General features: G+C 45.9%; 1 long non-coding RNA gene and 1 pseudogene across 2 annotated transcripts, besides 2 other annotated features; both read left to right on the top strand.

Moving 5' to 3' along the window:
- Positions 15019-15298: a silencer, noted in NCBI's record as "silent region_859". NCBI's record gives its function as "represses an Ori minimal core promoter by ATAC-STARR-seq in GM12878 lymphoblastoid cells {active_cell/tissue: GM12878}" and the evidence as "EXISTENCE:reporter gene assay evidence [ECO:0000049][PMID:35858748]".
- On the top strand, positions 15641-17284 carry LOC124904173 (uncharacterized). Of its 2 annotated transcripts, none has more exons than XR_007066066.1 (2): positions 15641-15912; positions 16953-17284. It is a non-coding gene; the product is annotated as an uncharacterized LOC124904173 (long non-coding RNA). The 2 variants fall into 2 exon arrangements; XR_007066065.1 differs by having other exon boundaries at positions 16942-17284.
- Positions 20250-20420: a silencer, noted in NCBI's record as "fragment chr1:47968760-47968930 (GRCh37/hg19 assembly coordinates)". NCBI's record gives its function as "represses an EF-1alpha promoter that drives an FKBP-Casp9 reporter gene in an ReSE screen in HepG2 liver carcinoma cells {active_cell/tissue: HepG2}" and the evidence as "EXISTENCE:reporter gene assay evidence [ECO:0000049][PMID:32094911]".
- RPL21P24 (ribosomal protein L21 pseudogene 24) lies at positions 25127-25646 on the top strand (annotated as a pseudogene).

Here is a 26310-nt window from a genome sequence, read left to right as displayed (position 1 = left end):
AGCCCTCCCTACACTTTTGTAAATAGTCCCTTCTAGAAACTCACCTCCATACCTAGAATGGGCAAATTCAGAGAGATAGAGAGTAGAACAATGGATACCAGGGGGAGGGGAAGAGAGAATGGGGAGTTCGTGTTTAAAAGGGTACAAAGTTTCGGTTGGGGAAGATAAAACCATTCTGGAGATGGATGATCGTGATGGTTACACAACAGTGCGAATATACTTAATGCCACTGAACTGTATACTTAAAAGTGGTTAAAATGATAAATTTTATGCTATATACATTTTACCAACATAAAAAAAAACTCACCAACATTAGCCAACCTTAGCATGCCATCTGTTTCCTCCTGGCATCCTGCCTGAGATATTTTCCCCCAGTGCTGTTTTCCCCAGCAGGTCCAAAGTCTGTGAATCTTGGACCATGGGAGTTTCAGGACACTGACCTCAAGGTCAGGGCAGCTGGACTCCCACAGGTTATATGCTCGCTGAATGCAATGGAGACCATTGAAACTGAGCTGAATAGAATGGACACTCCTGTGCTACGGACTGAATGTCTGTGTCCTCCTCAAAGTTCATATGTTGAAACCCCAATCTCCAATGTGAGGATATTTGGAGGTGGGGCCTTTGAGAAATTATTAGGGTTAGATTAGGTCATGAGGGTAGAACCTTCATGATGGAATTAATGCGCTTATAAAAAGAAAACATGAGATCCCAATGATTCTCTCACCTCTCTCTCTCTCTCTCCCTCTTATACAGCAAGAAGGCAGCTGTCTACAAGCCAAGAAGAGAGCCCTCACCAGAACCCAACTATGCTGGAAGCTGGCACCTTGGTCTCGGACTTCCAGCCTCCAGAAGTATGAGAAAATTAATTTCTTTTATTAAAGCCACACAATCTATGGTATTTTGTTATAGGAGCCCAAGCAGACTAACATACCTGGGAGGGTGCATAATTCTGGGCTCCCACAGACATACCTGGAAAGGATGGTCACACATGAGGATATTCATGACCTGGTCTGCAAACTTGGTTCCAGACCAATGTTTCTTGTTCTCTGATTGTTTCACATGCCAGTTCCAGCTCCTCACACAGCTGGGGGCCAGGAGATGGATCCTTACTCTGCAAATGTCTATGTGACCTTGGGCAACTCTGTCCCCTCTCTGGGCCTCTGTTTCCCTTTTGTACAATAAAGGAATTAACAGTGATATTCAAACTTTTAACCAGAAGAATCCATTCTTCAAATGAAACCTTAGAGAGAAGCTCAAAGTCAAAGCAAAATAAAATCAGGGCTACTCAGGCTGAGGATGGGGTGGCAGGCCCAGAGCTCCACTTCTTTCCTACATACCCCATCCTGGTAATTTCCAGAAAATACCAGTGTTGTAATTTCTGAACCCTAGGGTTCCATGAGGCACAGTTTGATGATCACTTTCCTAGATGGCCCTGTTTGGCAGGGTGTGGTGGGGACAGTGCTGAGCATGTGTGCTCAGTATAAATGTTTGCCAGTGAATGAAAACAGAACCGGGAAGCACACACAACCCCCTGATCTCTCCTCTCTGCCTCATTTCTCACCCCTCGGAACTGAGCGGAGGGGACTTGGGCCCAGGCCTACAGTTCACTAAACAAGGCTGCTAACTACTCACTCCCTCCTCACCCTGCAAGACTCACTCCCTCCTCACCCTGCAAATAATACTCTGGTGGATGAGGAATTGCCGAGCCCTTGTCTGCCTCCCTCTTGATGGGAAACTTGCAGTTCCCTGGCCGGGGCAGCCTGTTACCTCCGAACACAAGCAAAGGGGCCAGGCTGGGGCCAAGAACAATATTTTGTCAGTGAGTCTATTATAAAAATAATGGAATAAAAGAAGTCACCCTCAATAAGTGATGTGCAAGCTTCCCTTCAATCTGCCACGGCCTGACAAGGGCTAAGATGGCCCTTCCAGAACAGGCATGCAGCCAAGAGCTTTAAATAATCATTAAAAATATGTTTGTGATTTATCACCGGGGACGGGCTGGGCATGAGGCTGTGAGGCAGCAGCTCCTTCAGCACCACACCACAGATCTCACAGCCCCGCCCCTTCCCTCTTCAGCTCTGGCAAGGGGGTAGATGGGCATGGTCACCCTCACCCTCCCAGGTAATCCCTGAGCTGTGACTTCCCAAAGGAGAGGAAATATCCAACTGTAAAAGGTCTATCTCCCTCCCTTCTGGCCAGGGGAGAGCAAATCAAGGTCATGTCGAATGTTTCCCGTGTGTTTAAGGCATTGTTCCAGGAACTGTACACGTATCACCTCATTCAATCCTCCTGACAACCCAATGAGCCCTATGCTAGTATGACTGTGCCATTTTAAGTCTGAGCAAGCTAAGGCATAGAGATTGTAAAGTGCTCCCTGAGAAGTGGACGGGTAGGGATTGGAACCTCATGTGTTTGGCTCCAGAGTGGCCTTAACTGGGTTATGATGCCTCCTAGATGAGGGTGGGGCAGGGCCTTTCTCCTGCCTTCACTCCAGATTCCCAATCACCACCCCCTTTGGTGCCTTCATGGCCTCTGTACAAAGGGAATCCCAGCATCCCTCAGCCCCCAATTCCATTTATCATTTATACCCTGTGAGTAGTAGACATGGAAGCCCCCACTTAGCCCGGCTGTCCTGTACACAACACCTTACCTTCAAGCCCCTTTCTGAGCCTCTGCTGAGGTAAGGCGCAGAGAAAACCCACAAAAATGGAAGATGGCCAACCAAAGTGTGAAGGATTCACCTAAAGGCCCCTGAGTCCAGTAAACCTGATGCTTTGTGGCTGTCCAAGAAGCTGGAGGTGGTCATGCGTGCTTGGCCAAGAAGTCACCTCCTAGGACTACAGAGCAAAGAGGCATGGCTAGGAATCAGGACACGGGCGTCTTGGTCCCAGCTCTGCCCTGGACTTGCCTAGAAACCTGGACAAGGCACTCGTCGTCCTTGGGCTTCAGCTTTATTTTCTGATAAATGATCGTGAAAATACTATTTTATCTTCCAAGGCTTGTAAGAAAGCCAAAGAAGGAAATTTGTTAAGTGGGAGGAGAGGAGGAAGAGAATTTGCAAACTGTAGGGTGCTGGGCCTATGGAAAGACTATTATTATTAGTATTGACTTCCCAGGTGCCAGCAAACTTCTTCCTACATGAACAACTCTCAGGTCAATTAATGCCGGCTTCAAATCCTGGGCCATGCAGTTGGAGCTAGGTTAAAGATGCCTCCTGAGTCAGTGATAGCTCTTCAGCAAGCACAGCTCTTCCTGGAGACAGGGCCCTCCTCAGCAGGCAAGGACAGTGACAGCTCTTCCCCAAAGGCCCACGCTGACCTAAAGAGATAAGTCCTGGCTTATTGTGAGTGACAGACAGGCCAGCCAGGGATGGCCTTGTTCACCAGTGGACGGCTCTGTTTGCTCATGTAGCTCCCTGCACAGATGGACAGAGAGTCTCATGTCACTCCAGTGCTCACCTTCTCCTCTCAGAGGATAGTGTGCCCTTCAGCCAGAGTTCCACAGTCATCAGCAGCCCCAGCCCCACTCCAGGTGCTTATCCTGCTTTGCTGCCCAAAAGCTGCACTCACCGGCCAGTGTCCAGGGCTTTTCTCACATCGAATCTTCAAAGCCACTGTGTGGTCTGTATGGCTGATGCCCATTCTATAGCTAAAGAAACTTAGTTTTAAAAGGATTAACTGCCTTGGGCAGAGTCAAGGCTATACCTCCTCCTGATCCATCATGTCTTCATCCACCCTCCCTCCCTGCCCACACCATCACTGATTCATAACATGATGTATTCAGTCATCCATCAGACATTCTTGGGTGCATCAACCTGTCCTTGGCCCACTGAGTTGGATCAGATAAGGCTCTGGCCTTCAGGGAGCTCACAGTCCAGTAAAACACACTTTGAAATCACAACTCTGAGTAGCACGATGCTGTAGTCAGAGACCTGGGCCCCGGTCCTGACTCCACCCGTTTTTCTATTTTTTTTAGAGACGGAGTCTCAAAACCTTCCCCAGTCAATTCCACCCTCCAGAGGCAAACACTGTTCTGACTTCTAACACACTAGAGATTAGTTTTTTGGTTTTTTGTTTGTTTGGTTTTTGTTTTTTTTTTTGACGAATTCTCGCTCTATCACCCAAGCTGGAGTGCAATGGTGCCGTCTCGGCTCACTGCAACCTCAGCCTCCTGGGTTCAAGCGATTCTCCTCCCTCAGCCTCTGGAGTAGCTTGGATTCCAGGTGTGTGCCACCATGCCAGGCTAATTTTTGTATTTTTATTAGAGATGGGGGTCTCACCATGTTGGCCAGGCTGGTCTTGAACTCCTGACCTCAGGTAATCTGCCCACCTCGACCTTCCAAAGTGCTGGGATTACAGGTATGAGACATCACTCCTGGCCCTGACTCCACTCTTATATAGCCCTCTCTGGCTACCCCCATGCCCTTATTATCATTTCCTATTTATAGGCCAGTTTCTGCCACCAGATCCAGGGACTCTGAAGGATACAGGCACTGAGTCTTATTCATAATAATGATAATAATGCCCTGTGGCCCTTAAGCTGAGGCTTTGCAGTAGCAATCACTAAGCACTGAGTGGCTACAGGCCAAGCTTGGCTAACCACATAATGTGGGTTATCCCTATTCATCTTCACAGCAATCCTCAGAGAAAAGGCCCATGTTTTCCCCCATTTTACCTTGTGGAATCTAAAGCTCAGAGAGGTTAGACAGGTTTTCAAGGTTACACAGTTGGAAAGTGGCAGGGTCAGGAGTCATACTTTGGCCAGGTGAGCAGCTAAGTCACTACTCTTAAGCATGTGCTGTACATCTCCCTTCAGTGTTCTAGTACCACAGTGCCTGAATATGAGCTCCATGAGTGCTTGCTGAGTGAATGAGTGAACAAATGAATGAATGCATAGCTGCCCCACCACTACTAGGATACTGCAGCCATAGCACCCAGACCACCCGTGTCTTAGCTTGCACAGGCTGCTATAACAAATGCCTTAGACCGGGTAATTTATAAACAACAGAAATTTATTCCTTATGGTTCTGGAGACTGGGAAGTCCAAGATCAAGACACTGGCAGATTCAGTATCTGGTAAAGGCTAGCTCTCCGCTTCAAAGATGGTGCCTTGCTATTGCACCCTCACATGGCAGAAGTTCCCTGGACCCTCTTTTATAAGGGCACTAATCCCATTCATGAGGGCTCTGCCCTCATGACCTAGTTACCTCCCAAAGGCCCCACCTCTTAATACTTAATGCCATCACCTTGGAGGTTAGGTTTCAACATATGAATTTGAGGGTGGGAGGGATGCATACATTTAGACCACGGCAATCTGAGTCTCAGGAGGTGACATCTAAACCGAAAGGAGAAGTAAGAGGTAGCTGGGTAGAGAGTGAGGGGAGGGTGTTCCAAGCAGATACATGAGTGTGAGCAGAAGCTAAGAGGTAGCAGGGCCAGTGGAGCAACACTGAGGGGACTGAGAAATGCTCTGTGTTGCCAGAGTAAGATGGGAGGGGGTAAAAGGGAGAGAAGCTGTTGACAGAAAGGCTAGAGAGGAAAGCATGGGCCTGCAAATCTTGTAATCAAAGAATCAAGGAACTATGGGAGCTAACCCAGGTTTCTGGTCCCAAATCCAGGAGACGGACCAGGAGGCAGATGGACAGCCAGTCTACAGCTCTAGAAAGATCTAGAGACAGATTGAGGTTTGTGTTGTTGATACATGGACTGTGGTTGGAACCATAAGAGAACCTGAGATCCCCAGCTGGAGAGACGACATGTGTAAGGATGATAAAGGTGAGATACCACTGTGGGAATGGCCATCATTTTCCAAACTCTCCTGTGGCCCACGTATTCTACCCCACCCCCAAGAAATAGGGGTCTTTATCCCCATTTTACACATAAGAAAACTGAATTTGGAGAGATTATTTGTGTAAAGGAACCTGGTGGTAGGTGGTGAGGCTGGGGTTTGTGCTCTACCTGTCTCATCCCAAAGCTTAGGCTTTTATGTGTACATGTTACACATTTAAGTGAGCTTCAGAACTGTAACCCAGGACTCCCACTATTGGTCAGAAGACAAGGTAATCTGTGACTCTTTGTCCAGCACTGTGCTTATCACGTGGTACCCAGCCAGTCAGCACTGAGGAGCTAATTATCCCCCTCCACATCCAGAATAGTTTCCCTGACCCCCCAGCCCACGCCTACCCCTCTGTCATCTCCAGATGCCTCTACCCAAGGTACTCTTCCAGGAAACACCACAGGATCACCCTCTAGTGAGGTGGTAAGCTCTTTGTCACTGAAAGCAGAGGCAAGAGCCCTGGGAGAGGCCAGGAGAGAGGTCTAGTGAAGTTCCTTCCGGAGCTACCCTGGGAATCTCCCTCACTCTGCCACCAAGACTGCACTGTGGATTGCCCTTGCCTCTCGTGCCTTTCCAGCTGTGGCTCATGTGGCTTATGGCTCCTAATCTTTAGCATTCTGGTGCTCCACTCCAGCTGAACAAGCCTCTCATCCCATCTTCCAGGGGCTAGCTCAGCTCCCATCTTCCAGGAAGCAGTCTTCAGATAGAACAGGGACCAGAAACACCCTGGACACTCACTATCTGGATTCTTCAAAATACTCCACCTTACACAGCCTCAGAGGCCATCATTAATCCAGCTCTCACTAAGCACTTTTGAGCCAGACTCTGGGACAGCTCAATGAGGAAAACAGCAGCCCTGCCATTAAAAGGTTGATGGTAGAGGGCTTGGGGACTGATGTGTAGATGAAAAATAAAAAGGCGGCCAGAAATGGTGGCTCACGCCTATAATCCCAACACTTTGGGAGGCTGAGGTGGGAGGATCACTTGAGGTCAGGAGTTCGAGACCAGCCTGGCCAACACGGTGAAACGCCATCTCTACTAAAAGTACAAAAATTAGCTTGGCATGGTGGAGGGCACCTGTAGTCCCAGCTACTCAGGAAGCTGAGGTGGGAGAACTGCTTGAACCCAGGAGGTGGAGGTTGCAGTGAGCCAAGATCGCACCACTGCACTCCAGCCTAGGTGACAGAGTGAGACTCCATCTCAAAAAAAAAAAAAAGAGGTTTTAATTGACTCACAGTTCTGCATGGCTGGGGAGGCCTCAGGAAACTTACAATCATGGTGGAAGGCACCTCTTCACAGGGTGGCAGGAGAAGGAATGAGTGCCAAGCAAAGGGGGAAGCCCCTTATAAAACCATCAGATCTCATGAGAATTCACTATCATGAGAACAGTATGGGGGAAACCGCCCCCATAATTCGCTTATCTCCACCTGGTCCTGCCCTTGACACATGGGGATTATTACAATTCAAGGTGAGATCTGGATGGAGACACAGAGCCAAATCATATCAATTACTCTGAAGGAGAATATGACATAGAGCAAAAGGAAGGGGCAGATGAAATGCCCTCAGTGCTCCTAGAAGCAGGTGAGAGGACATCAGAAACGGGGAAGGGATGAAGGAAGGCTTCCTGGAGGAGGTAGTATTGGGGCTGTACCTTCCAAGAGAAGTGTTTCTACAGGCAAAGAACAGGGTGGAACTGCATTCCAGGTAGCATGCAAAACATAAGCAAAGGCCCAGAGTTTGGGTTAAGGTCACTAGTTGGTGTAGCTGAAGTACAGGGGTTTGACTGTATTGGGGTCAATTCCAGAGATTTTATTGAACCCCATGTTAAATGTACCATGGCAACAACTCTCTTCCCCTCAGTTTCACCATCTATAGAATGAGGCCACTGGAGTCAGTAACCCCTGGGCCCCCTAGTCCCTCCAGAATATGTCATTCTGCAGTGCCCAATCTCCCAGGCTCCTAAACACTTCCACATGTCAACCCTGACCTGGCTCCTTATCTTTGCCTATACAACACAGCCGGCCAGCCCTGCTTCCGCTTGGATGGCCTCCCTGTGGTCCTGGAGTGTACCGCTATTCTAGGGCCACCAGCCAGGTGGCCCCCTCTCCAACAGAAACACAACACCCAGGGTGGTGGGTCCTATGGAAACATCAGCCATTTCCCACCATCCTTCCCTTTTCTCCTCAGGCCTCAGCAGAGCCTGCGGAAAACGTGGGTTTATTTGGGGTCTGCGGGATACAGAGAATGTTATCATTCTCAGGGAACTCCAAGTCCTGGTTTCACTGCTTATTCTGGCCCCTCTCCGTGGATGCTGCAGGCCTATCAGGCAAGGAGGTCTCCCTCCTGCTTTCATACCACCCAGGGCTCCCAGTTCCAAGAGAGGTTTTGGGTTTCAGATAAATGAAGCAAATGCCTAAAGGGGTAGGCAACATCTTTAACTCCTGGAGCAGAGGGCTGAGCAAGGCCGAGGGCTCAAGCTGAGTCATTCCCCATCATGTCCCCTGACCCCCACCCTCGCAGATGGCAGGAATTTGCTTTTTCAAACTGCAATCTGAGAATTCTAGAAGCTTATGATCTGTGGATTCAAGGATCTTCAAACTGATGGAATCTTAGGCTGCCAGAACCTTAAAAATTGTTGAATCTTAGACTCCTAGAACCATGAAATTCTAGAATCTTAGGATCAGACCATTGTGTCCAGGAAAGAGATGGATTCCATGGCTTCCTAGCTATGTAACTTTAGGTAAGTGATTCAATATCTCTATGCTTCCATTTTCTCATCTGTAAAATTGGGTAATAATTGTACCTACTTCCTAGAGTTATTATGTGGTTTGAACGAGTGAATATGTATAAAGCACTTACAACACTGCCTGGCACATGGAAAGCACCAGAGACGTGACAGCTGTAGTTCTAAGATCACACAGCAGGGTAACAGCAGAGTTTGTGCTACAGTCCAGGTCCCTGGCTTCCCTGTCCAGAATTTTTCTGCCATTCAGCCATGCCACCTCTCAAGATCATTAGGAAAGGACCAACCTAGGGACCAGATAGATTTTCAATCATGGCCCAGTGGAGACCCTGCTTTGGAAATGTCCATGCAGGAGACAGGTTTCCCATCACTGAGAAATACAATGGGCAGAACCATGTTTCCTCCCAGAACAAAAAACTTTTGGCAGATGGAGTCAGTGAAAGCCTCTTGCACAATTTAGTGCACTCTCTCAGTGGGCTGACTGGGCTCAGCTAGGTGGTTCTTCTGCCCTACATGTAAGCTGAGGCTGCAGTCTTCAGGGGACTCAATTGTGCTGGAATACCCAAGATGACTCACTCATATGTCTGGCACCTTGTTGGGGATGGCTGGAAGGCTTGACTCAGCTGGGATACTAGGGCATCTAGGTCTCTCCCTCCCCAAGTATCTCCCTCCCTCCATCCCTCCCCTAGCCTCTCCATATGGTTTCTCCAACAGAGTAGCAGGACTTATTATATCGTAGCTCAGGACTCTCAAAAAGGCAAAAAGAGAAATTGCTGTGTCTTAAAGTTTGGGCCTTTGTGATAAGCAGAATTCTAAGTTCTCCCCCAAGAATCCCACCCACAGTGTACACACCTGAAAACATGTACAAAATCTAAAAATATGATGGAAAAGACACTCCTTTGATTAGGTTACATTATATGGTAAAGTGATGGCATAGATTACATTACACCATGTAAGACTCCATTATAATAGACTGGAGAGAAATTCTCCTGCTGGCTTTGAAGAAGTAAGTGCCATGTTGAGAGAGAACCATGCTGCTAGGACCTTAGGTCAGCTTCCAGGAGCTGAGAGAAATTGCCCAGTTAACAGCCAGCAAGAAAATGAGGGCTTCAGTCCTATAGCCACAAAGAATGGAATCCTGCCAGCAACCTAAACAAGCTTGGAAGAGGACTTATGAGCCTCAGATGAGATTGCAGCCCCAGCCAACACCTGGATTTCAGCCTGGTGAGGCCCTGAGCAGAGAACCTAGGTCTCACTATTGGGAGAACAGCACCAAGCCATTCATGAGAGATCCACCCCCATGACCCAAACACCTCCCTGCCTAGGAGTCATCTCCCAACACCACCACATTTGGGATCAAATTTCAATGTGAGTTTTGGAAAGGACAAACCATATCCAAACCATGGCACACAGCAATCCAGAGACCAGGGCTGGAGGCCAGGTGTCTGGACTCTCAGCCTACGACGACTTCCATTCGGCTCTTGTTTTTAGGTTGAGTGAATAAAATCTGTCTCCTCTGTCCCCAAAGGCAAGGCACTCATTTTGTCTTGGCCTTCTGCCTCTCCTGAGCTCCACCCTATCCTGGTTTTTTGGGGATTCTGAGGCTCACTTTTTACTCCCTGGGTCTGACACGTTAAAAAGAGAAATCAGGAGTCTCCAAGAACTAGACCCCAATACACCTTCACCTCCAGAAAAGGACTGACAGGGTGGAGAAACCTCCCACACACAGCCTACCCAAGACCTGGAGGTTTTGTGGACAGGTGTGCACTAGGAGCTGGAGTCCACCCTGGTGCAGATGTGAGACCTGAATCCCTGACCCACTCTGGGACCTTAGTTAAATTACACCCTGTCTCTTTTCCATTCCTCACCAAAAATGAGGAAAATGCCCTAACAGGTGAGATAAACCAAGTGAATGCCCTTTGTAGACCACAAAGGGCTGATTCCTTGAGCAGAGTTCTTCAAAAGAAAACTTTAGCTCCTGCTTACTGATGTATCGTCCCTCTCTCTCCAATTAAGGACCCAAGCCTCCCACCATTTCAGTCCCCTTGTTCATCTCCTTCCCTTTCTCCAGTGGAAATTCCCAGGAATTCCCAGTCCGAGGAATTCCCAGGAATTCTTATTCTTGACCAAATGTCAACTCCTAAGAAAAACCTTCCTGATCTTCTTGTCTAAAATATCATCTTCCTTCCTGCTGTCTTCTCCTGCTCTTTTTTAATAGCACTTATCAGTGTCTGAAATTATATTAGGCACTTGTTTAGTATTAATTTCCCACACTAGATGATAAGATTAGCAAGGACAAGGATCTGTCTGTTATTCACCACCCAAGAATTTGACAGGTAATAGTGCTCAAAAAGTACTCATTGAACAAATGAATGAATGGAATCAAGACTAAGCACAGTGCAAAACTTCAATGCTGGTCCAGACAGGATTGTGTCTTAAGATACCAGCTGGTTCCATGAGGACTATAATGCAAAGGAAGCCTAACCTGAGCAGCCCACCTCACACTGGCCCCCTCTCCTGATTGCACTTAGAGCCTAAACCTTTCACTGGACACTGATTTACAAATTACTGAGAAAGTTCCTAGATTGTTGACATTTAGGAATAAGTAAGCTCTGTAGGTGTGAGCCTGGTTTATTTCTCTCTCCCAAGTTTACTGAGGGCATATTCACCTTTGTTTCCTTCCCCAGAGTGCCTAACAAGTACTATTTGAATGGTTGTACCTCAATGAATTAATAAATAAGTGAATAAGTGGGTGAAAGAGTAAATGGATGAATGAATGGATAAACAGTGGGTGACTGAATAATTACATGGATGGATGATGGATGGATGGATAGAAAAAAGGAGGGAAGGGTGGATATATTGATGGATGGATGGTTGATGAGTGGATAGTGAGTGAATGACTAGATGCGTGATGGAGAGATGGATCGTTACATGATTAGTGGATGATAGAAGAGTAGATGGATGAAGGGATTGATGGATGGATGGGAAGGATGAATAGATGGATAAAAGTATGGGTGGGAGGGGTATGGTTGGGAGGGAAAGGGTTAGGGTGGGCCAGAATAAGTGAGTAGATAGATTTGATTTACTGTGTCTAAATCTCCAAAGTCACAGAACAGAGGAAGTAGATTTGCTCGTGGACCTACAGGAGAGAGTTAGGATCATTAAGTCAGAGTGACAGGGAGACAGATTTCAGCTTATTATAAGGTAGAAACTCCCTGTCACTAGAGATGTGGAAATAGAAAGTGCCCGCCTCCCCGCCCAGCCATCAGCCCCTGCCCAATCAGGGTACTGGGGAAGGCAAGAATTCAGATCCTGGTTGAGAGGTTGAAGTATACGACTTTTGCCTTCAGACACAGAAACTGTAGGATTCTAAAAGAATCAGAAGCAACCCCCCCCCCCCCGCCATTAATTGGGTTTGGTGAAATCTGGGCCCTTGTTCTCTACCCAGAATCTTGGAGACGCTCTACCTTGATACCCCTCCTGGGGCTGAGGATAGAGGCAATGACAACTGGGCTAATACTGTGAGAAATCATTGGGTGTACTCCGACCACAACCCATGAGGTCAGGACTGCTTCTCACCCATATCTGTCTACTTTTTCCACTGCTTTATAGGCAAGAATTTAAAAATCTCGACTCTTAAACAGCGACTGTGTAGCCTTGAACAAGTTATTACCCTCTCTGATCTTCAATGGTATCTTGTGTAAAATGGAGATAATGCCTCATAGGGTTGTTGGCAGAATTAAATGAAAGAATTATGTAACATGCATAGTGCAGTGCTGAACACATTGAAAGCCCTCAATAAATGATAATATTGGAACTGGCATTGGTTTTAGCATTGATATCAGCATTCAAAGCCATGTTTATATTCATATTTATTAGAAGTATTACAATAGTATACAATGGTATTACATGTATTACATGGCATTGTCATAGAATCATAAATCTAGGGCCACAGATTCATATATGCTTGATAACAGATTTTCTAAACTGACCACCTCAGAAATTTAGAACTTTTGAATTAGAACCAAACTTAGAGCCATCATGGATGGTTGAACTACTCTGAGTAGACAAGACCTTGGAAGTAATGAGTCTAACCACCCCAAGCGGCCTCTCTACCCATGGCAGATGCCTCTGCCCAATGTCCTTCACCCTCCATCTCCAGGCCAGAACATCCTGTGAGGCCGCTCTGGGGGCCCTGACTGGACCCTTTGGCCCTGTGCTCCTGTTCTCAGACAACCCAGAATCCCAAGAATTTGTGGCCACAGGAGTGGAAGCCTTGGATTGGGCCCGGGGGATGATGAAATATGGAAGCTCCCAGAGTTGGGCCTGGTGGGGAAGGCCACATTTTCTGTGTAATGTTCTATTGCATGCCAATCAATTACAGTGTGCCCTATATAAACACATCATGAGGGCTTTGACAGGGGGCCGGGGTGAAGTTGGGTGTCAGGGTAAAACAGGGGATAATAAAATCACTGGAGATTTATTTCTCTAAATTGGAAACTTCATGCTTACACCTGACTAAATCATCAGGCTGAAATCGGAGCCGACTCCCACGGAAAACACATGTAACCTTATCCCATCTTTGTTTAACGGCGACCCATCAAGCCGCCTGATGAATTCTGCAGATGCAGCCAGCGTCTTCCTTGGGCTCCTTGAGTTCTGGGGGTCTCAATCAGACCTAGTTGTTCTTCCAGGGCTGGCCAAAGAAGCCTCTTCTACAGGTGGGTGTCCACCTGGTACCCCATCCCCTAAAATAGCTCCGCTTTGCTCCCATGCCTGAAAGTACACCATTTGTGTACCTAAGATCCCTCTACGTAAGATCCTCCTCTTCATGAAACCATCCTCCCTGAGAAAGGGAACAATGTTGAATAATATGAGAGGCATTTGTGACATCAAGAAAAGTTCTCTAAACTAGAAATTGTCCAGCCTGGCTTCCACCACAGTTCTGTGATAACACCCCTTTATCTCTCTGGGTAAAATGACCTTGCTACTTCTCTTTACCGTCTCTTCTCTCATAGAACTTTTGTGAGAATTTGATGAGCTAATGGGTTAAAAGTGCTTTATAACTTAGTTTATGGTAATATTAGCATATAATTTTCTATTTGAATTATGAAGCACTGTATGTAGAACCAGGAGACAGTGTGAAGTCAGCCACTGCCTGTGTTCAGGGGTTTCTCCTTTACCAGGAGTGACCAGCCAGGGTGGGAGGAAGAATTTGGGAGCAAATCTCATCAGTAAGCCCCGTCTGTGTGCTGGGCACTGGGTTAGTGTATGACACTCACACAGTATTTCATGTGATCCCCACATCATATATAAGATTATGCCCATTCCGAAGATGACAATTCAGGGATCAGAGAGGTTACCTAACTTTCCTGAATTACACAGTAGGAGAGTGACCAGGGGGTCAGTCTAGATTTGTCTGACCCCAAAGTTCATTAAAATACATGACAAGTGCTCTGTGGGGCCTGAGGGAGAAAAGGAGGGCAGTATGTGCCCAGGCTCAATAGAGGCCCTGCCCCTCTCCCAGCTCCTCCCTTCAGGTCCATAAATTCTTATACACACAAACACAGTCACCCCAGCACACACCACAGGTGGTCAGCGGGCAGGGAAGCTGCAGGCTGAGGCTTCCTCCTCAGAACAACGCTCCCTGCCCACACCTCCGCCATGGCCCTTTGGGTGGGGTGAGGTGGGAGGGCGGGGAGGGCAGAAGGAGCCCCCGTGTGTCATTTTCGGCAGCAGTCAGCAGAGCCTTGCAAAGTGCAAGATGGCTTTTTTAGCCCAGCATAAGGATCTAGTTAAAAACCAATAAATCAGGAGTGAAATGTGCATAGCAGCCTGCTCCGTAAAATCAACATGGCTTGTGCCTCTGCAGGGAGCCCTCTGCCTGCCCGCTGAAGACTGCGGCTCAGGCAGAGCCCTCCTCTGTCCCATAGACATCTTCGGAGAGAGAGGTCTCCTCTGTTCCTTGAAAAGACAGAGCCAGGCCACCGGAGCCCCTACTTAGGAGGTGCCTCGCTTATGACATCCCCTTTCTAGATGCAGAAATGCCAAAAAAAAAAAAAAAAATGGGTGAGCAGGGCCCAGACAGCTCTCAGCCTCCACACTGCTCCGCCCTGACATAGAAAATCGAATTAGGAGATGAATAGGCTGAGGAGTGGACGAGAACGGAGAGCCCCAGGGCGTCTCCCCAGCACAGATTACAGAAACCATCTGCAGAAAGGGGCTCGGGACCCTCACTGAGATGACCCCCGGTGGAACGGGCATCCCGGGCCTCGGCGTGCCCAGCGCAGCCCCCCGGCGGGGGCGGGGAGCGAAGGAGCCCCGGCTCAGCCTCGGGTCGGTATTTAATATCTGTAAAACTGCCACTCGGGCAGCCAAGGTAAACAGCGTCCCTGGCAGTTCAAAGGTGAGCGAGTTTAAATGTTTCCCCTCTGCCTGAAAGGAATCCGTGCCGGGCCTGCGGCCGCGGCGGCCCCAGGGAGGGACGGCCCCCCGCGCCGCCCGCCCGCAGCATCTGTGCACAGAGGCTGCGTCTCCCACACAAATACTCAAAATTTCTCATTAAAACTTATGACTGTGTCAACAGTGCGGGCTGGGCCCCTAATCTGGAAAAGCCATTTCGCCACCGCGCCCCGCCCCCCGCGGCCCACGCGCTGTCCCCGCCCGCGCTCTGTCGCCACCCTCTCCACGCCCCACGCCGCGGCGGGCGCCCCGCGGGGCCCGAAGGTGCCACCCGCCCGCCCTGTCTCCGGGGCCGAGTGGAAGCCAGGACGGGTTGGTACGGGGCGGGCGTCCTCAGAGGACCGCGGGCGCACAGGGGACACGGTAGAGGAGCTGGCTTTCCCGCCAGATAAGAGCGCCGGAACCGGCCAGGCGAAGGACGCCCGCGGCGCTTCCACTGAGCTCAGAGAGAGCTTTCTCCTGGCGACAGTCCCCTTCAGAGTCCTCTGAACAACCCCGCCCGGCCGCATCCCTTGCAAACTTGTTCCCAGGAGTCCATTTCTGCTCCCACAGGGGAAGGCCCAGCTCAGCCCCGGCCTGATGCCACAGTCCAGCTGAGACTCGAGGCCCCCAGCCCCTCAGCCCCGCTGAGCGGGAGGGGCCCCGGTGGGGGACAGAGCAAAGCTACTCTGAAGAAGGGGATGAACTTGACTTGCAGTAGACTCCAGGGCAAGAGGGAAATCAGAGAAACATTTGGGAGTAGAAAGAGTCCACCCTGGGTTCAAATCCCAGCTCTGGCACTGACGATATTTCCGTTTCCTCCTCCATAAAATTTAGGGGACAATAAGAGAAAGAAAACAGCTAAGCCCACCTACTCCAGATCCTGGCATACAGTAAGTACTCCATACATGGTAGTCATTCACTCAGTCAACCTATACTTATTTATTAAGGCTCTTTTATGTGGACCCACAGACAGCTAACAGTCTAGAGAGAAACAGACAAGTAAAACAATAGAGGCTGAGTGTTATGAAAGGGGAAGTAGAGGGTCTCAGATGAAAGACTAGATACACTGTGACTAAAAGATGAGGCAGCAGGGGAAGATATTTCAAGAGCAGAACAGCCTATGCAAAGGCCCTGAGGCAAAAGAGGATGTGATCATAGGCAACAGAGGATGTGATCGTGGGCAAAGGCACTGAGACAGAAATGAGGCTGGGGAAACGTGAGTGCCTACACGGTGTGCACCTCTCAATGAGCACTTTTAGATTGATTCTTTGTTGTATGTGAGTATACACTTAATGTATGTGCATTTGAATATGGCCAAAGACATGAACCTACACCTATGCATGTTTAAAATGTGTATGTCTGTTTGGACGTGTGCACATGTGCCTGGGTATTTATGCACGAACATGAGTGTATTTGTGTGTGTGTGTGCGCACCTGTATATGTGGCTATATATCCATACTTGTGAATCCGAATAAGGACTTGTACATTTGTGTTTGCACAAGTATCTGCACTGTTGATGTGTGTCTGTGTGTATGCACTTGTGCTCACACACACTTTAACAAATGCTGACTCCCCACTCCCCACACCTTCTCTGGTGTCCATGGTATAAGAGTGGGCAGCTAGGTCCTGCATGCACCCTTACCTTTCATTGAGGCCAGATATTCCCACTGACAGGCTATGCCTGGAACCAGTACCCATGGGCCTGATGGACCCCCTGACTGCCTTTTATTTGCTCCACCCCAAAGAAACAAGAAAATAAAAGCATGTCAAGATTTCCCTCCAGAAAGCTGAAATCCAGGCACCCATACCTCCCACCCCATTATCCTACCACAGTCAGAAGTTGTGGAGACACTGGTTACATGGCGAGCAGGAATAGCTCAGCACAGAAAGTGGGAAACTGCTGTCCCAACCCCTACCAGTTTCTCTGCAGATGTGCTGTGTGACCCAGGACAAGATGCTTTGCCCTCTGAGCTGGTGAAAACGAAGATGATGCTCCCTTCATGTTAGGCTGAAATAGAACACAAACAGAGACGCGGCAAGATGATGAACATCCTTCCAAATTTTCCATTAGACTGGGTTGGCTACCTTTAAAAATAAGAACAAAACAAAAATAATCCTCAGAAAAGCCTCATGAAGTTCAAAAGCTCCATTGCACATGTTGCCTCCAAAGGGGCAAGAATTTTGCCATTGTCACCCCTGTATTCCCCTCCTAAAACAGAACCTGGCATATAGTAGGTGCTCAATAAATATTGGTTGAATTGATAAATTTGTTCATTGAGCTATTTGCTCGTTCATTCACTTATCATATAATCCCTGTGCCATTGTTTTGTACCAGGCCTTAACTGTCCCCCACCCAAAAAGAAGGGACCCTCTTGCTTAAGCTTCACTAATATCCCAGGTAAATGCATATCACTTTAAATTCATGGCTTCCCACCTCCTTCGAGCCTCAAAACTGCCAGGAAATGCAACTGTTTCCCAGCTCTTTATGCTTCCCACAGTGGTGGTTCAAATTTTCCTCTCTCTCTTCAGATCCTCCAACCTTTCCCTTCCTTCCCCTGCCCTTTCAACAGGTGACCTTCATGGACAAAACAAAAGCCATCAACTTTCAGCCACAAACCTACACATTCACCTGTGCTTCCTCCAAACCTCATCTCCTTCCCTTTTATTGTAATGAAAGCATCTCTCCTCCCATAAGAAGCCAGCTCTTCCCCTCTGGATCCACCCAGGAGAGTTCACCCCATTGACTCACCTCCTCTTTGTCCATATCTTCTACCTCGGAATTTCTCAAGCTGCCCATTTTGAACCATTTTAGGTTCACAAATTCAGTTCAGGGTACTGTGACCAGCAGTATTTAACAATAAAATAGGATGGGGCATGGTGGCTCATGTCTATAATTCCAACACTTTGGGAGCCCGAGGCAGGAGGATCACTTGAGCCCAAGAGCTTGAGACCAGACTGGGCAATATAGCAAGATCCTGTCTCTCCAAAACAAATTTTAAAATTAGCCAGGGGTAGTGGCATGCACCTGTAGTCACAGCTACTTGGGAGGCTGAGGCAAGAGGAACACTTGAGCCCAGGAGTTCGAGGCTGCAGTGAGCTATGATCATGCCACTGCACTCTAGCCTGGGCAACAGAGCAAGATCCTATCTCTTAAAAAAAATTTTTTTAAGTAAAATAGGAAAGAAAATATCAGAGCACATCACACACAGTAAAGATGAGTATATGTCACAAAACTTTTGTTTAAGTTGTGTCAGTGTGTGTAAGTGTCTCAGGTCTGGAAGGACATGTCTGTCTAACTGTGGGTTGTGTCAAGAAAGTGTGAAAGATGTTGTTCTACCTCCCTTTTTCTACTGCCTCCTTCCCATCAGTGGGTAAACTCCTTAAGAATCTCAACCGGTTCTCAACCCAAATGTCCAACAATGATAGACTGGATTAAGAAAATGTGGCACATATACACCATGGAATACTATGCAGCCATAAAAAATGATGAGTTCATGTCCTTTGTAGGGACATGGATGAAGCTGGAAACCATCATTATCAGCAAACTATCGCAAGGACAAAAAACCAAACACCGCATGTTCTCACTCATAGGTGGGAATTGAACAATGAGAACACATGGACACAGGAAGGGGAACATCACACACCGGGGACTGTTGTGGGGTGGGGGGAGGGGGGAGGGATAGCATTAGGAGAGATACCTAATGCTAAATGACGAGTTAATGGGTGCAGCACACCAACATGGCTCATGTATACATATGTAACTAACCTGCACGTTGTGCACATGTACCCTAAAACTTAAAGTATAATAATAATAATAATAAAAAGAAAAGGCAAGCAACAACAACAACAAAAAAAGAACAGAAAGCTGAGTTCAGAGAAGCTAAATATCTTGCAATTCCTTGTAGCTAATAAATAAATGACAAATCCTTATTGTAAAAAAAATAAAAAATAAAAAAAAGAATCTCAACCGGTTCTTCAAGCCCAGTTCTCTTTCAGCTACTGCACCCCCCAAATCTCCTCCCAACCAGTCTTCTTTAAAGAGTCATCTACACTCAGGCTGGGTGTGGTGGCTCACTCCTGTAATCCCAGCACTTTGGGAGGCCAAGGCGGGTGGATCACTTGAGGTCAGGAGTTCGATACCAACCTGACCAATATGGTGAAACCCCATCTCTACTAAAAATACAAAATTAGCCAGGCATGGTGGTGCATGCCTGTAATCTCAGCTACTTGGGAGGCTAAGACAGGAGACTTGCTTGAACCCGGGAAGCGGAGGTTGCAGTGAGCCGAGACTGTGACATTGTGCTTCAGCCTGGGCAACAAGAGTGAGACTCTGTCTCAAAAAAAAAAAAAAAAAAAAGAGTTATCTACACCGAGTATCTACACATCTTCACCTCCCATTCCTCTGCACATCAGCACTGTCCCTGAGACCCACTACCCCGCTGTGGCAAGGCTGCCACCTACCTGCTGCTAAACCCAGCAAGAGTTTCCCTGGCTTGGCTTGCGGGGCTCTCAGAGCCCTCACTGTTCCTTGACTCTCACATCCTCATCTTCTCCTGGTTTTCCTCCTTCCTCTATGGCCTGCCTTCTTAATCTCCTCTGTGGGCCCTCCCGTTTCTGCCTAGCTCTTAGTGTTGGTGTTCCCCAGGGCTCACTCCTCGACCCTCTTCTCTTCTCTTTTCCCCTCAGTAATCGTAGTCTCAAGGTCCATAGGCTGATAATGCCCAACTCGGCATCTCCATCCCAACTCTCTTCCTTGACCCCAGGCTCTCACCTTCCTCTGCATCCCTGCTGGCTGCCCCACAGGCTCCTCCTTCTCAGCATCTTCAAAGGCCAGTCAGCGTCTTCCTGCACCTTCCCTAATGTTCCTTGTCTGTAGCAGCACCTCTGCCCACCACAACACCCCAACCAGACAGCAGGCATCCCTATGACTCCTTAGAGCCCGAGCTGTCCAGACACTACCTCCTGACACCTCTCCGCTCTCTCTCCACTTCTCTCCATCCCACCACCATTCTGAGTCAGAACTTAATCATTCTGCCCAAATAACTTCCAGAGTTATCTCACTAAGGGGTCTCCAATCCATCTTTCTAATAGGACCATGTTCCCCTCTGTTTTAAACCTCCAGTGTCTCTCCTCGGCTGCTGGAATAAAGTCCAGTCTTCAGGAACACACCCTGAAAGATGTGTCCACGGGGACACTCTGCCTTCAGCCACTCTGATTTATGCTCTCACCCTAACTGGTGCTCTTTGGGCTGGGTGGCGTGGGACCGGCTGGCCCCTCAGCTTGCTCAGCTTCCCTAAATACCCTCACTCTCAGGTTCCTCTTGCCAAGACTGGGCTGACCCAGGGTACCCCAAGCTCACGTTCAAAGACTCAGGCCGGGCCCAGCTGCTTGGCTCCATAAATGGGGATTAGGCGCCCCCCTTTGAGGCGGGCGGGTGGGCTGTGAGAAGAGTTGGTTTGGTATAGATTTTATGGCAGGATCACATTTCGTCATCAGACCCCCCCTCTGAAGCCAGCGAAGGGCAGGTCAGGGGCAGGGGAGTGGGAACCTGAGCTGTTCCATCAGCCCAGAGCAGAGAGTTGCTGGCACAGGAGGGGGCCTGGGAATCTGGGGCCCCGAGTTCCAGCCTCCCCTTTGCTGCTCCCACTGCTGTGTGAACTTGGGCACATTCTTTCATTCTCTGGTCTGTGAAATGGGGGCCCTAGACTAGACAGGCTCTCAGGCCAACTCCATTTCCAGACCCCCAATGCCCTCTCCCAGTCTAAATCATAACAAAAGCATCACCCCTCTCAGGAGGCTGCAGAGCTATGATACACTTACACACCCATGGATTAGGGTTGCCACATAAAACACAGGATGCCTAGTTAAATTTGAATTTTAGATAAATTACAAATCATTTTCAGCATAAGTATGCCCCAAATATTGTACAGACATACTTATATTAAAACAATTTGTTATTTATCTGAAATTCAAATTTGACTGGAAGCCCTGTATGTATTTATTAATTATTATTATTATTATTATTTTTTTTTTTTTTTTTGCTGAATTTGGCATCCTTATCCTAGATGCACTGGAGTTTACAGGACTCATGGTCCATCTAAGCAAAATAGGTCAGATTTTAACAGGTTTAAGTGGTCTTGGCAAAATCATCAAGCTGGGCAGAGACCTGTCGTCAAGAGCCAGTAGAGATTTGGTGAAGGATGTTCCAGGCAAAAGGAACAGCATAGGCAGAAACCTAGAGGAAGGATGGTGTTGGCCAAGTTCCAGGAAAGGCAGTAACAGACCAATGTGTAGGCTGTAGACTCGAAGTGGCAGGAAAGGCAGATGGTAAGGTTAGTTGGAATCAAATCATGCCATATTCCATCTATGCTGCTACTGATATTAGAGGAAGGGACCCAGAGGAGGGTTTGAGCTGAAATAGGACCACAGCCAGAGATGAAGTACAGGGAGCAGGATCTAGCTTCCCAAAGATTAGAGGAAAGACAACTGAGATGATCTGGAAGAAGGACCTTTAGGACCTAGCCAGGGAATTTGGGCTCAGATCCTTTCTCTGAGCAGAATAAATAATAAATAGCAGTCGGTAAATGATAGCTGTCATTATGATCAGTGGTCAGTAAGTGCTGTGGTTTGTTACCCACTGACCTCATCCCCAGGCAGTCAGCATGGGGCCAGAGCCATTGCTTAACTGCTGGGAGCTCAGATATGATGGAACAATGACAGTTTACAGATTCGCCATCGAGCTGTGCCACCCTTCCCTTGTTCTGGTGTCCAATATCAATGAGAAATAAACCGCCAGGGAGAATACTATGAATACAAGGGCATTTTAGGGACCAGTGAAAATTATCTAAGGCAGAGGAGCTACTTTATAAGAGTCCCTACAAAATCCACTTACGTGAATCTCTCCTGTCACTCTCACAGCAACTCTAGGTGGTGGGTATTTAAGCTCCATTCTAGAGATGTGAAAACCAAGGCTCAGAGAGAAGTCATTTGTCCAAGGTTCTTAACTAATAATAGAGAGACGTCAGTTTTAAAATCCAATAAGTGGTGCATGCCTGTAGTCCCAGCTACTCGGGAGGCTGGCATGGGAGGATGGCCTGAGCCCAGGAGGTGGAGGTTGCAGCAGCTGAGATCGCACCACTGCACTCCAGCCAGGGTGACAGAGCCAGGCCTTGTCTCAAAAATAAATAAATAAATAAATAAATAAATACATAAATAAATAAATAATAAAATCCAAGAGCTCTTTTCCCTACATAAGGCTGTGTCTATGGATCAAAGCAACGAAACCCAAGTTCAGTGTGTACTTCAGCTACGCAAGCACCTTCACCCCTGATGGGCCCATCAGCTTACTGGATGCCAAACCTTATAACACCTGGCCATGAGGCCTTGGAACTCATCTTGCCCCCAGGTCAAGCACATGCTTCCTTCCATTGGCTGGGAAGAGACTGGAGATTTCAGAAACCTTGGATCCAGTCTCAAATTCTCCAGTTCCTGGCTACATGGTTTCACCTTTCTAAGCTTGTGCTTCCTCATCCAAAAAATGAGGATAATAATGCCTTCTTCCCATGTATGTTGTGAAGGTCCAATGTGATAATGTATAGGAAAGAGCTTTATAAACTGAAAAGCATGGTGCAGACTTGTTTCATTGCCCAAATCACAGACAAACAACACTATCTTATAAACTTAAAAGCTTTTGCTAGTTCATGTCTTCCAGATTTACGGGAAGGCCTTCTGGTCTAACAGCCAAGTCTAGTTCACAGATGATTTGCAAGGCAGGAGTGATTGATGACACTTCATTTATTCATTTGTCACACATTTGCTAGTCTCTTCTGTGCCAGGCTCTGTATTGAGCACTGGTGAATAAAGACATAGTCCTTGTCCTTGGGCAGGTGGTCATTGGGGGAGACAGAAACAGACAATAATGATCCAGTTGTAGTCAATGATAAAGTATAAGCAAGTACAAAAAGAGTATAAACAAGTGAGGTGAACTTCTCTGAGAATTAAAGGAAACTGCCAGGTAAGGTTTCTGAGAAGGGATTATTCGCACAAGGTGTCAAATAATTTTTCTATTTCTTCATTCGACAAATATTTATGGGGCTCTTCTAAAGTACTGAGATACATCACCAAACAAAATAAATAGTCCCTGCCTTCAAGGAGCTTAGTGGAGAAGACAGATAATAAAAAGAAGAACAAATAAATTATTACATGCCATAATCTCATATCATATATATTATATATGTATAATGTGATATATAAATACATTATAGTGATATAAGGTGTTATAAAAAAGCAGAGTAAAGTTGTTATACAAATATAATAAATATTAGGTATTTATTATAATAAATAAGTATTAGGTGCTATAAAAAATAAGGCAGAATAAAAAATAAGACAGAGTAAAGTAAGTAAGGCTGGTAAGGGTAAAGGGGCTATTCTATATGAACTGATAAGGGAAAGACTCTAAGAAACTGATGGTTGACCACAGACATGAATGGAGTAAGGACATGAGCATTGAATTATAATGAAAAAAAAACAACAAAAATTTGTGGAATGTAGCTAAAGTTATTTGTATAGGAAATTTTTAAACTTTAAATGTTTATATTAAAAGATAAGAATAATTTAAAATCCATGATCTAAATTGCCATTTTAAGAATATAAAAAAAGAGGAGTAAAGAAGGGGAAACAAATGTTGACGATGAGTAAAACTTACTGAAATAGAAAATAAATAATAAAGAAAACCAATTAAACCAAAACTGATTCTCTGATGAGATTAATAAAATTGATATGCCTCTAGCTAGACTGATCAAGGAAAAAAAAAGAGAAGACACAAATTGCCAACATCAGAAATAAAAGAAAAGACATCACTACAGACATTAAAGTGATAGAATATTACGTACAATTTTATGCTAGTTAATTCAACAACTTAGGTGCAATGAACACATTTTTTGAAAGACACAAATTGCCAATACTGACACAAGAAGAAATAGAAAATCTGAATTAGCCCTATGTCTTTAAAGAAATTGCATTCATAATTTTTTTAATTCCCACAAATAAAACTCCAGGTGTTTGCAATAGTGAATTCTTTCAAACATTTAATGAATAAATAATACAAAACTTACATAAACTCTTTCAGAAAATATAGGCGGAGGGGGCACTTTCCAATTTATTATATGAGATTAGTGTAATTCTAATAACCAAAACCAGGCCTAATTATTATAAGAAAGAAAATTATACACCAATACCCCTCAAAAACATAAACACAAAAATCTTTTTAAAAGTACTGTCAAATCAAATTTGGTTACATATATTTATATATGATATATAATAGATCAATACATAGATAGATAGATAGATAGATAGATAGATAGATAGATAGATAGATAGACAGACAGATAGAATGACCAAGTGGGGCTTATCTCAAGAATACAGGTGGCTTGTACAATTTTCCAAATTAATACAATGAAGGAGAAAAATCAAATGATCATCTCAATATGGGCTGAAAAATAATTTGATGAAGTTCAATACCCCTCTACAATCCAAATTCTCAGCAATCTAAAAATAGAAGAGGACTTTCTCAATCTGATTTTTTAATGTGAAAAACATACAACTAACATGACAATAACGAAATATTAAGCTCTTTTTTCCCTAAGATCAGGAACTTAAGACTGCTTGATTTCAAGAGTTACCATAAAGCTACAATAATCAAAAAGTTGGAACCGGCATAAGCGTAGACAAACAGGTCAACAGAACAGAGTCCAAAATAGATCCACACATATCAACTGATTTTTGACCAAGTCAATTTAATAGGGAAAAGAAAGTCCCTTCAAAAAATAGTACTAGAACAACTAGATAACTATATGGGGGAAACTGAACCTCAACTACTACCTCAACCCCATACCAAAAATTAATTATTCAAAATTGATTCTAGACCTAAACTTAAAAGTGAAAACTATAAAACTTCTAGAAGAAAACATGGGGGAATATATTTGTGATTTTGGACTAGGCAAAAATTTCTTAGGACACAAGAAAATCACTAGCCATAAGATAAGAAATTATTAAATCAGACCTGATCAAATTTTAAACTTTTATTCATCAAAAAATATGATTAAGCCTCTCGGCCTTAACCTCCATCTTCCAGTAATTCACCAAAACAACATAAAGGGAAAGAGGAGAGGCACCTGATACATATTCTCTAGGCCTTTTAGGAAACATGGAGTTGTTCCTTTGAATACACGTGAATCTGTAAGAAAGGCAATATTGTAGACATCAAGGAAATGGGCACTGTTCAAAAAGCAATACCTCACAAATGTTAACCATGGCAAACTGGAAGAGTCTACAGTGTCACTCAGCATTAGTTAGTTAACTTATTGGGCAAGATTCTTGCCAAGAGAATTAATGTGCATATTGAGCACTCTAAGAGCCAAAATAGCTTCCTGAAATGTGTGAAGGAAAATGATCAGGAAAAGAAGGAACCAAAGAGAAAGGTACCTGGGTTTAGCAGAAGCACCAGCCTGCTCCACCCAGGGAAGCACACTTTGTGAGAACCAATGAAAAGGAACCGGAGCTGCTGGAACCTCTTCCCTATGAATGTATGGCATAACAGGTGTTAAAAATAAGAGACCTCTGGACTGTAAAAAAAGAAAAAAAAGATAAAAGAAAATCAATATGGCCACCTTATATTACATATTATATTTAGAATATGTAAGGAATTCATAATAAAATGACAATCCAATAAAAACTGGGCAAACACTTGAATAATCACTTCACAAAAGATATACAAATAGCCAGTGAGTGCATTAAAAAGTACTCAACGTCATTAATCATCTGTAAATTCAAGTTAAAATGACAAAGAGATGTAACTACACACCCACTAGAATAGCTGAAATGATAAAAGGCTGACAACAGCAAATGTTGGCAAGGATGTGAAGCAATCAAAATGCTCATAATGCTCATATAGGCCAGGAACAGTGGCTCATGCCTATAATCTCAACACTCTGGGAGGCTAAGGCAGGAGGATCGCTTGTGCCCAGGAGTTGAAGACTAACCTGGGTAACATGGTGGGACCCCATCTCTCCAAAAACAAACAAACAAACAAAATTTAAACCAGCCAAGCATGGTGATGCACTCCTGTAATTCCAACTACTTGGGAGGCTGAGGTGAGAGGATCACCTAAAGTCAGGAGTTTGAGACTTCAGTGAGCTGTGATTGTGCCACTGCACTACAGCCTGGACAGCAGAGTGAAACTGTCAAAAAAAAAAAAAAAAAAAAAGGAAGGGAAGAAGGAAGGAAGGAAG

This window comes from Homo sapiens, chromosome 1 (assembly GCF_000001405.40).
Source record: "Homo sapiens chromosome 1, GRCh38.p14 Primary Assembly".
Lineage (NCBI taxonomy): Eukaryota > Metazoa > Chordata > Mammalia > Primates > Hominidae > Homo > Homo sapiens.
Note: the sequence above shows the minus strand (reverse complement) of the source record. Positions and strands in the feature narration are given on the sequence as shown.